The sequence below is a fragment of the Homo sapiens genome, chromosome 19 (assembly GCF_000001405.40).
Source record: "Homo sapiens chromosome 19, GRCh38.p14 Primary Assembly".
NCBI lineage: Eukaryota > Metazoa > Chordata > Mammalia > Primates > Hominidae > Homo > Homo sapiens.
Window position 1 is genome coordinate 40,652,630 of NC_000019.10, and position 12,439 is coordinate 40,665,068.

Genomic DNA, 12,439 nt, shown 5'->3' on the forward strand with positions numbered 1-12,439 from the left:
CCTCCCAAAGGTGGCTCACAGAAGTGAGCCACCACGCCCGGCCTGTCTATTATTTTTATTTTTAAAAATAAATGTATTGTTAATTTCCTTTTTCCTGTTGGATAAAGGCTACAGGGAAACTTAATGACAATTTTGCTAGAGTCTTTAATATTTCTCTCATTTTCATTCATTTAAAAACATAGCCTTCAGGCCAGGCACGGTGGCTCACACCTATAATCCCAGCACTTTGGGAGGCCGAGGCAGGTGGATCACTTGAGGTCAGGAGTTCAAGACCAGCCTGGCCAACATGGTGAAACCCCGTCTCTACTAAAAATACAAAAATTTAAAAATTAGCCGGGCATAGTGGCATGTGCCTGTAGTCCCAGCTACTCAGGAGGCTGAGGCAGGAGAATCACCTGAACCCAGGAGGTGGAGGTTGCAGTGAGCTGAGATCGCACCACTGCACTCCAGCCTGAGCGACAGAGTGAGACTCGGTCTCAAACAAACAAATACACAAAAAAACCCACAAAGTTCATGGGGAGGGAAAGGTGTAGCCTCTCTTGAGAACTTTCCTCTCTCATTTTCCCCCCAAACAGGATGATGCTTCCTTTCTCTTCTCTATCCTTTTCTGGACAGCCTTGGGTCCTCTCAGTAACTTATTTGGGTAAGTGGCTGGTTATAATGGCAGTGACCTCGAACTTAGGCTCTGGGGTAGTTGGCCACTTTTGTCCTCAGTTTTGGGCAGTAGTAGCAATTCTGGAAGTTCTGGGAAAAATCCAATTTGACATCATAGTACGAACCTGAAGGAAAGGTCTTGATCCCAAAGAGCTCTCGGCAGCTCATGGCTGTGACTGTCATCCAGGGCCTGGGCCTGGGGAAATGTTTGGGGATCTGTGGGATCCTTTAGGGACTGTCACAGTGACTCGGGAAATGTTGCTATAGGCAACTGTTCTGGAACTTTTTGGTCTTAGGACTCTTTTACATTCTTAATAGTATCAAGGACCCCAAACAGCTTTTATTTGTGTGGGTTATAACTTTTTTTTTTTTTTGAGATGGAGTTTCATTCTAGTCGCCCAGGCTGGAGTGCAATAGTGTGATCTTGGCTCACTGCAACCTCTGCCCCACAGGTTCAAGCAATCCTCCCACCTCAGCCTCCCGAGTAGCTGAGACTACAGGTGTGCGCCATCACGCCTGGCTAATTTTTTTGTATTTTTATTAGAGACAGGGTTTCACCGTGTCGGCCAGGCTGGTCTCCAACTCCTGACTTCAGGTCATCCATCCGCCTCGGCCTTTCAAAGTGCTGGGATTACAGGCATGAGCCACTGCGCCCGGCCTGTGTGGGTTATAGCTATTGATATTTACCATATTAGAACTTAAAACTGGCCATTTAAACAAATTTTTTATTATTGATTGATTTTTGAGACAGGGTCTCACCCTGTTGCCCAGAGTGGAGTGCAGTGGCATGATCACAGCTCACTGCAGCCTCGAACTCCTGGCCTCAAGTGATCCTCTCGCTTCAGCTTTCTGAGTGGTTGGGACTACAGGTGTGCACCACCACACCCAACTAATTTATTGATTTTTTTGTATACACAGTCTTGCTGTGTTGCCTAGGCTAAAACTGACAATATTAAAATCCAGCCATCCACAAGCACACACTGGCAGAGCAATTATGTCATCACATGTCATGGAGCCATTGTATGCTCATAAGTGAATGAGATTGAAATACGCAAAAAAAGTCCTGGAATTATTATGAAAGTAATTTTGGCCGAGCGCGGTGGCTCACGCCTGTAATCCCAGCACTTTGGGAGGCCGAGGCGGGCGGATCACGAGGTCAGGAGATCAAGACCATCCTGGCTAACATGGTGAAACCCCGTCTCTACTAAAATTACAAAAAAAAATTAGCCGGGGGTGGTGGCGGGCGCCTGTAGTCCCAGCTACTCCGGAGGCTGAGGCAGGAGAATCGCGGAGCTTGCAGTGAGCCGAGATTGCGCCATTGCACTCCAGCTTGGGCGACAGAGCAAGACTCCATCTCAAAAAAAAAAAAAAAAAAGAAAGTAATTTTAACTTTGTGGACAAAGTCTCAGGGACCTCCAGGAAACCCTGGACCAAACTTTGAAACTTGCTCTAAAAGCATTTGTAAGCCTGGGATGGTTAGGTATGTTCAACGTGCAGCCATGTAGGAGATAGTGCATGTCAAAAGGGCCCCTTTGGATGGGTTAATATCACTTTGGTTCAGTTATCTGTGGCCTGGAAGGGGTCCCTTGTGTACAAACAAAGCTGGGGAGTAGGAGGGAAGAATTTTTTTTTTTTTTTGAGACAGAGTCTTGCTCTCGTCCCCCAGGCTGGTGTGCAGGGGTGTGATCTTGGCTCACCGCAACCTCTGCCTCCCAGGTTCAAGCAATTCTCCTGCCTTAGCCTCCCTAGTAGCTGGGATTACAGGCACCTGCCACCACACTTGGCTACGTTTTGTATTTTTAGTAGAGACGGGGTTTTGCCATGTTGGCCAGGCTGGTCAACCCTGACCTCAGGTGATCCACCCTCCTTGGCCTCCCAAAGCGCAGGGATTTACAGGCGTGAGCCACTGCGCCTGGCCCAGGAGGGAGGAATCTTAACCATAATGCTCATCTTGTACTATCTACTGGAAACCCTAAAAATACAGAGACCCTGGAGCCACTTTCTGGGTTCTGCTCCCCTTCATTGCTTTCTAGCTGTGTGACTTTGGGCCAAGTTCCTTAACCACTCTGTGGCTCAGTTTCTCTTCTGGAAAATGGAGACAATAATAGTATCTGCCTCTCAGCGTTGTTATAAGAGTTACCTTGGCACACAGTGTTATGTGGGTGTTTACGCTGAGTATTACTGTTATTACAGTAATCATTCAAATCCAAGAAGCCATCAAAGGTAAGATGCATTGTTTTTTATTTTATTTTATTTTATTTTTTATTTTTATTTTGAGACAGAGTCCTGCTCTGTTGCCCAGGTGGGAGTGCAGTGGTGCGATCTCAGCTCACTACGACCTCCACCTCCCAGGTTCAAACAATTCTCCTGCTTCAGCCTCCTGAGTAGCTGGGATTACAGGTGTGCCCTACCACGCCTAAGTTTTGTATTTTTAGTAGAGATGGGGTTTCACCATGTTGGCCAGGCTGGTCTCAAACTCCTGACCTCAAGTGATTCACCCGCCTCAGCCTCCCAAAATGCTGGGATTACAAGGGTGAGCCACCACACCCAGCCAAGATGCATTGTCACTTCAAATCCCCAGGGGAGAAAAAACAGCTGCCAGTTAAACTATGACACATAATCATTTATAAGACACATCCTGATTTCCAAGTCATTGAAAAGGGGTGGGGAGGATAAATAAGTCAATTAAAAATGGTTTTATTCGGCCTGGCGTGGTGGCTTACGTCTGTAATGCCAGCACTTTGGGAGGCTGAGGTGGGTGGATCACGAGGTCAGGAAGTTCGAGACCAGCCTGGCCAACGTGGTGAAACCCCGCCTCTACTAAAAATACAAAAAATTAGCCATGCCTAGTGGCACAGGCCTGTAATCCCAGCTACTCGGGAGGCTGAGGCAAGAGAATCTCTTGAACCCAGAAGGCAGAGATTGCAGTGAGCCAAGATCGTGCCATTGCACTCCAGCCTGGGTGACAGAGCAAGACTCCATCTCGAGAAAAAAAAAAAAAAAGATGGTTTTATTCTGGAATAGGAGAGTATTTAAGGAAAGAAAATAAAAAATAAAGGAAAAAAAGAAATTTTAAAATTAAAAAAAATGATTTCATGTGTACAGAAGAATTTAGCAACAAGGATGTCCACCACAGCACTTGTCATAATGGCAAACCTGCTGAAACCCCAACCATTATGGATTAACTGCACAAGTTAAGAGAGAGCCACAAAATATTGTGACTGAAGGGGTTTTCAAAGATTGTTCCAAAACCCTGGGGATCCTCAAAAGTGAATCAATTTCTCTCTTTCATAATCTTTTTCATCTTCACTCTCCTATGAGTGCATAAAGCAAAAAATAATAAGCAGGTGACTTCTAAAAAGAAAAAACCTCTGGAAACTATGCCTCAACCCCATTCTAGAGCCTGCTGGGCCACTGCTCAGAAAAGGAAATGTGTGCCCCAGGCTGACCCACTCTTAAGACAACCCATTCTCCACATGCCTCTGCCTTCAGTTACACAGCTGTACCCAGAGAGGGGTCTTGTCTTTACTCAGCTGTCCATCCACCCTCCCTGTGTTGCAATGAATACATCCCTGGTATCTTCTGTGCCTGGCCCCAGCCCACCCCCTCCTCAGAGCTCCAGCCACACATTCCAGTGCCTTCGAGACTCACCTGCTTTGAAAGGTAGATCCTTACATTCAATTTTCTTGTTGAAATACTTCATGTGGTTTCTTTTTTCTTGACAAGCCTCTGACCAACACTTGGTGGTCATTCTTAAACCGTTGATTTTTCCCCTTCACACCTATTCCCCTCCACGATCACAATCTTCCCAGTCTCAAAAATGTCTCTACCTGGGACCTCAAGCCAGAAACCCAGGCAATATGGAGGCACTTCCTCTCCTCATTCCACATATGCCACTCATGGACAATTCCTGCTTTCCTCTAAGGCAGATGCTTACCACACCCCTACCCCCACCCTTCTATTTAGAAAATTTCTAAACATGCAAAAGAATTGCAAGAAAAGTAGAAGATATAATAATATACTGTGGATATGGATTCACTAGGTTTTTGCAGTTTTTTGTTTGTTTTTGTTTTGAGACGGAGTCTTGCTCTGTCACCCAGGCTGGAGTGCAATGGTGCGATCTCAGTGCAAGCTCTGCCTCCCAGGTTCAAGCAATTCTCCCTGCTTCAACCTTCCAAGTAGCTGGGATTACAGGCACCCACCACCATGCCCAGCTAATTTTTGTATTTTTCAGTGGAGATAGGGTTTTGTTACGTTGGCCAGCTGGTCTTGACCTCCTGACCTCAGGTGATCCGCCTGCCTTGGCCTCCCAAAGTGCTGGATTACAGGCGTGAACCGTCACACCTGGCCTTTTGTGTTTTTGTTTTTGTTTTGGTTTGTGTGTGTGTGTTTGTTTGTTTGTTTTTGAGATGGGGTTTCACTCTGTTGCCCAGGCTGGAGTGCAGTGGTGTGATCACAGCTCACTACAGCCTCAACCTGCTAGGCTCAAGCGATCCTCCCTTCTAAGCCTCTTGAGTAGCTGAGACTGCAGGTGCCCACCACCACACCCAGCTAATTTTTGTATTTTTTGTAGAGACGGGTTTTCACCATGTTGCCCAGGCTGTTCTCAAACTCCTGGGCTCAAGTGATTCCCCCCACCTTGGCCTCCCAAAGTGCTTGGATTACAAACGTGAGCCACTGTGCTGGGCCTATTTCTTTGTGTTTTAAGAGGCAGGGTCTTTCTCTGTTGCCCAGGTGGAGTACGATGATTCGATCATAGCTCACTGCAGCCTCAAACTCCTAGGCACGGGAGACCCTCCTGCATCAGCCTCCCGAGTAGCCCAGACTACAGGTGTGTGCCACTATACCTAGCTAATGAAAAGAATTTTTTTGTAGACATGAGTTCTTGCTATGTTGTCTAGGCTGGTCTGGAACCTCCAGCCTCAGGCGATCCCCTTGCTTCAGTCTTCCAAAGCAGTGGGGTTACAGGCGTGAACCACCTGGCCTGGTCTCGCTCTTTCTCTTTCGACATCTACATTGATCTGTAGCTATCTACGTACTATAGATATCTAAAAGTTATGTAAATGTCTACTTAAGCTTATAGGTATGAGCTACTGTATGCTATCTAAGCTTATAGGTATGAGCTACAAATTGCTATTGTGTTATGAGGGGAATTCAAAAAGTTGATGGAGAATGGAATTAAGAGATAAAAATTTTAAAAAAATCTTTATTTCTCACCATAAACTCCATCAAGGTCAAAGTCAAGACACTTTTGTAAACCATTATACCAGCCATTTAGTCTATCCCTAAATAACTGAGGGTCCCAGGAATTTAATCATGTCAGTGCAGCCTTTTTACATTTTCTCTTTCTTTTTTTTTTTGATGGAATCTCACTCTGTTGCTCAGGCTGGAGTGCAGTGGTATGATCTCGGCTCACTGCAACCTCTGCCTCCCGGGTTCAAGCCATTCTCCTGCCTCAGCCTCCTGAGTAGCTGGGACTACAGGCATGTACCACCACATCTGGCTAATTTTTTTTTTTTTAGTAGAGACGAGGTTTTGCCAAGTTGGCCGGGCTGGTCTCAAACTCCTAACTTCAGGTGATCTGCCCGCCTCGGCCTCCCAAAGTGCTAGCATTACAGTTGTGAGCCACTGTGCCAGGCCTTTTTTTTTTGTTCTTGTTGCCCAGGCTGGAGTGCAGTGGCATGATCTCGGCTCACTGCAACCTCCACCTCCTGGGTTCAAGTGATTCTCCTGCCTCAGCCTCCCGACTAGCTGGGATTACAGTCATGAGCCACCACACCTGGCTAATTTTTGTATTTTTTTTTTTAGTAGAGACAGGGTTTTGCCATGTTGGTCAGGCTGGTCTTGAACTCCCAACCTCAGGTGATCCACCCTCCTTGGCCTCCCAAAATGCTAAGATTACAGGCGTGAGCCACTCCGCCCAGCCCAGTCTTTTTACATTCTTAACTGAAGAAAAATGGGTGCCCTTCAAAGATTTTAAGATTAGGAAACAAAAAGTCAGAAGGAGCCAAATTGGGACTGCCAAGTGGATGCCTAATAATTTCCCATCAAAACTTGTAAAATTGCTCGTTTGATGAGGAGAATGAGCAGAAGCGTAGACATGCTGGAGAAGAACTCTCTGGTGAAGCTTCCCAGGCTTATTTCTACTAAAGCTTCGGCTAACTTTCTCAAAACACTCTCATAATAAGCAGATCTTATTATTCTTTGACCCTACAGAAAGTCAACCAGCAAAATGCCTTGAGCATCCCCAAAAACTGTTGCTATGACCTTTGCTCTTGACCAGTGTGCTTCTGCCTTGACTGGATCACTTCCCCGCTCTTGGCAATCATTCTCTGATTACGATTTGTCTTTAGGATTGCACCCGTGAAACCATGTATCATTTCCCGTTACAATCCTTCAAGGAAATGCATTAGGATCTCGATCTCACTTGTTTAGCATGTCCATGGAAAGCTCTGCTCTTCTCTGCAGCTGATCTGGGTGCGACCGTTCTGGCACCCATCGAGTGGAAAGTTTGTTTAGCTTTAATTTCAGTCAGAATTGTGTAAGCTGAGGCCGGGTGAGGTGGCTCAAGCCTGTAATCCCAGCAGTTCGGGAGAATGAGGCAGGAGGATCACTTGTGTCCAGGAGTTCAAGACCAGCCTGGGAAACCTAATGAGACCCCCATCTCTACAAAAAATACGAAAATTTAGTGTCAGGCCTCTGAGCCCAAGCTAAGCCATCATATCGCCTGTGACCTGCACGTATACATCCAGGTGGCCTGAAGCAACTGAAGAGCCACAAAAGAAGTGAAAATAGCCTTAACTGATGACATTCCACCATTGTGATTTGTTTCTGCCCCACCCTAATGATCAATGTACTTTGTAATCTCCCCCACCCTTAAGAAGTTTCTTTGTAATTCTTCCCATCCTTGAGAATGAACTTTGTGAGATCCGCCCCCTGCCCGCAAAACATTGCTCCAAACTCCACCGCCTATCCCAAAACCTATAAGAATTAATCATAATCCCACCACCCTTTGCTGACTCTCTTTTTGGACTCAGCCTGCCTGCACCCAGGTGAAATAAACAGCCTTGTTGCTCACACAAAGCCTGTTTGGTGGTCTCTTCACAGGGACGCGTGTGACACTTAGCTGAACGTGCTGGCACGCACCTGTAGTTCCAACTACTTCGGAGGCTGAGGTGGAAGGATCGCTTGAGCCCAGGAGGTTGAGGCTGCAGTGAGCCACAATCTCACCACTGTACTCAGCCTGGGCGACAGTATGAGAACCCTGTCTCAAAAAAAAAAAAAAAAAAAAAGAAAAAAGAATTGTGTAAGCTGTACCAATTGAGATGTCTATGGTGTTGGCTATTGTTTCTGCTGTTAACTGTAAGTCCTCTTTAATTAAGGCATAAACAAATTTAATTTTTTTCTGCAAAAATTGATGTGGATGGTATGCCACGGTGGGCTTCATCTTCAGCATGACCCAGGCTGGAGTGCAGTGGCGCAATCACGGCTCACTGCAACCTCTACCTCCCAGACTCAAGTGATCCTCCCACCTCAGCCTCCTGAGTAGCTGGAACTACAAGTGTGCACCACCACACCCAGCTAATTTATGTATTTTTTGTACGGATGGGGTTTCACCATGTTACCCAGGCTGGTCTCGAATTCCTGAGCTCCAATGATCCGCTGGCCTCAGCCTCCCAAAGTATTGGGATTACAGGCGTGAACCACCACGCCCGAACTTGTCCCTTCTTAAAACGAGTTATCCATTTGTAAATGGCTGATTTCTCTGGGGCACTGTCAAGTTTTTGGAAAACATCAATGATTTCATCATTCTTCCACCCAAGCTTCACCATCAATTTGATGCTTGTTCTTGCTTCAATTTTAGAATTCGTGTTGCTCTGATAGGGGCTCTTTTCAATCTGATGTTTTATTTTAGTGTCTCAAACTAGGTCCTGTTCAGACAAGTTATAACAAGTTAGTATGAATTTATTTTGGTGCAAAAAAAAAAAATTGAACTCCATGCATAGTTTTTTCATAATACACATTTTCCATGAATTTTTGGAAGACCCTTCTTTTTCTCTCTTTTTTTTTTTTTTTTTTTTTTCTGTAGAGATGGTCTTGTTCTGTCACCCAGGCTGGAGTGCAGTGGCACAATCATGGCTCACTGCAGCCTCGACCTCCTGGGCTCAAGCAATCCTCCCACCTCAGCTTCCTGTTACTGGGACTATAGGTGTGCACCACCACACCTTGATAATTAAAAAAAAAAATTTTTTTGTAGAGATCGGGGTGGGGGGGGGGGTCTCACTATATTTTCCAGGCTGGTCTTGAACTCCTGGCCTCAAGTGACCCTCCCCAATCAGCCTCCCAAAGTGCTGGGATTACAGGCACAAGCCACAGTGCCTGGCCAATAAATGTTTTTTGAATGAATGAAGAAATTAGTGCATGGACATATTTTCCCATCAGCTATTACAATAACCAGACTCTGAGTTCCCTGAAGGCAGGGCCTGTGAGTTTCATTGTGTACCCTCAGCCCTCAATAGCTGATAAAAATAAATATTCAGAAAATGCTTGTAAAATGAAGAAGAGAATATGTATGGGACAGAAAGTAGACCAGTGGTTGCCTGGGGCTGGGACAGGGAATAGGGAGCGACTGCAAATGGGCAGAAGGGATCTTTTCAGAGTGATGGAAATGTTCTTGAATTGGCTGTGATGGCTGCAGAACTGTAAAATCACCCAAAATCAGTAAATCACTTATAATAGGTGAATTTTATGACAGGTAGATTATACCTCAGTAAAGCTGTTAAAACAAAACCAGTGTTGAGGGAGGAAATAAATGTTACCTTGGTAATACTGAGGACTCAGTAGTTATCAAGACAGCTCTCTTCCCTGCCCTCATGAGGTTTTCTGTGCAGGGCGGGGACGCCGACCCATTATAGACAGTGACAGCCTAGAGCCATCACGGCGGGATGGTGGGGAGGGGACAGGCAGAGGGGTGGGAGGCCAGGATGGGGGAAGCCCGGGCAGAGAGGTTGGGCTGGAATGGGGGGCACAGGCAGAGGGGTCGGGGCGGGGACTGGTGAGGTGCAGGCAGAGGGCAAAGGGGTCGAGGTCCAGATGGGAGATGTACAGGCAGACGGATCCGGGCCAGGGCGGGGAGGTACAGGCCCAGTTGAGGAGCATAAGGAACCATAGGAGCCCAAAGGAGGCGCCCGACCAGTCAGGGAGGACTTCCCAGAGGGGTGAATGGCTGAGCCAGGGCCTGAAGTATAATGTTCATGAATGCGACAGCAATTTTTTTTTTTTTGAGACCGAGTCTCCCTCTATCACTGGAGTGCAGTGGCTCGATTTCGGCTCACTACAACCTCCACCTACCGGGTTCAAGCGATTCTCCTGCCTCAGCCTCCCGGGTAGCTGGGACTACAGGCGCCCGCCCCCACGTCCGGCTAATGTTTGCATTTTTAGTCGAGACGGGGTTTCGCCATTTTGGCCAGGCTGGTCTTGAACCCCTGACCTCAGGTAATGCACCTGCCTCGGCCTCCCAAAGTGCTGGGATTACAGGCGTGAGCCACCGCGCCCAGCACAATTTTAATTTTTCTTAAACACTTTTCCTGCCTTAGCAAAGTCTTGGAGGGGCGGCCGCCCAGGCGCCGCGAGCGCAAGACCACGAGGGGGCGCTGCTTCACCACGCTAGAGGAGCGCTCCCGGCAACCACGTGGCCCCACAGGTGCGGGAGGTCGGCGAGCGCGCCTGGAGGGTGGACGGGGTAGGTTACGGCCAGGCAGCCCGGGGTGGCGCGTGGCCCTGCGCAGGGCAGTGGAAGCAGCGGGCCCCAGGGAGCATGAGACGCCGCGCTCCGTGGGGCGGTCCCAGCGCTGTGCAGCGAGGGGCCAGGGCTGTCCCCGGTCCTGCGCGGCCGGCTCCCGGAGAAACTGTGGCCTCCTGGGGGTGGAGCTTTAAAAAACAAAACAAAACAAAACAAAATCACCCAACAGGAAGCGGGGTGGGGGCGCCCGGCTCTGTCACCCGTGGAATGCATCAAAATAGCCTGCGCGGCCGGGGGCGGTTCCGGGAAAGGGGGCGGCCGCGAGGGGCGGGGCTGCAACGGAGGGCGGAGCTTCCCAAAGAACGGGAGAGAGGAGTGCAGAACCGGCCCCAGGGGGACGTCCTCCTGTTCCCCCAAAATGACCTCGATAGGCGTTTGTGTGGGATGGGGTTCCTGGGTAGGGCGGGGCTTTCCAGTGCGATGTCCCTGGTCTATTCTTAGCGGGCTGAAACCTGGAGAAGTGGGAGTGGGCGGTTGATCCGGGTTCCAGGGCCTCTTTGGAGCGAAAAGCTCCGTGGAGAGCCAGAGTCTCCATCCTGGGCGTGGGAGGGAAGATGGGAAATGGGCCAAGAGGAGCCTGTGGGAGGTCCTCCCCGGGACGGCCCCCTTCCATCTGCATCCGCGGGAACCGTTGTGGGGGCAGCTCTGAGAAAGGCTGCTCTGGGCGCAAGGAAGGGTGGTTGAACGAAGAGATCAGTCAGGGACGGGGTGGGGGTGCCTTGACTGTGTCCCAGATTTGCTGCGTGCTTCTGACCTCAGTTCCCCATCCTTCCAGTTGCTCAAATCCTCTCTGTCCCAGTCCTAGGCCGTTTCTGCCCCTCTCACTTCCTAGTGGTTTGCAGAGGGGAAACACTGAGGCTGCCTCTTCTGTGCCTGGCCCTGTGTTGGCACGGGGAAGTGACTGAGACGCCCCAGACCCCCTTCTCCCTCACAGTCCAGTGAGGCAGACAGACCTGCCACCAGATAGTGACAGCCCAGAATGAGTCATTGAGAGGACGGGGGAGGCACAGGCAGATGGGTCAGGGCTGGGATAGGGGAGGAGAGGGGCCTGTAGGATCCAAGGGGAGAGTGGGTGCTGCTGACTCAGTCTGGGGGGGTTGAAGAGCCGTCTGAACTTAGACCAAAAAGGTAGGATGGGGCCGGGCGCCTGTTATCCCAGCACTTTGGGAGGCAGAGACAAGAGGATCGCTTGAGGCCAGGAGTTCCAGACCAGATTGGACAACATAGCGAGACCCCCATCTCTACAAAATAATTTAAAAATCAGTTGGGCATAGTGGTGTACGCCTATAGTCCCAGCTACTCAGGAGGCTGAGGTGGGAAGATTGGTTGAGCCCAGGAATTCAAGGCTGCAATGAGCTATGATTGCCCCACTGCAGTCCAGCCCGGGTGACAGCGTGAGACCCCTGCCTCCAAAATAATAATAGCAAAAATACTGGGCTGGGCGCGGCGGCTCACACCTGTAATCCCAACACTTTGGGAAGCCGAGGTGGGCAAATCGCTGAGGTCAGGAGTTCCAGACCAGCCTGGCCAACATGGTGAAACCCAGTCTCTACTAAAAATACAAAAATTAGCTAGGTGTGGTGGCAAGGCATCTGTAGTTCCAGCTACTTGGGAGGCTGAGGCAGGAGAATCGCTTGAGCCCAGGAGGTGGAGGCTGCAATGAGATCACACCACTGCACTCCAGCCTGGGCGACAGAGTGAGACTCTGTCTCAAAAAATAAATAAATCCTAATGAAAGGATAGGATGGGGCTCAGGGCCTTGGAAGAGGGTCACCTTCTAACAAAAGGTATTTGAACGGAGTCCTAAAGAATGAGTAGCATTCTTCTGGGAAGTGCTGTGTCACCATGAAGGAAAGGGTGTTCTAGGCAGAAAGAATGACAAATGCAAAAGCTTGGAGGTGAGAGTGTGGCTTATCTCTGGCAGGGTCCTCTGCTCCCTGCCTGGGACATTCCCCCAACGTCATACCCCGACAGAGCTGTCTT

General features: G+C 48.8%; 1 annotated feature.

Moving 5' to 3' along the window:
• Positions 10,289-10,568: a silencer, noted in NCBI's record as "silent region_10641". NCBI's record gives its function as "represses an Ori minimal core promoter by ATAC-STARR-seq in GM12878 lymphoblastoid cells {active_cell/tissue: GM12878}" and the evidence as "EXISTENCE:reporter gene assay evidence [ECO:0000049][PMID:35858748]".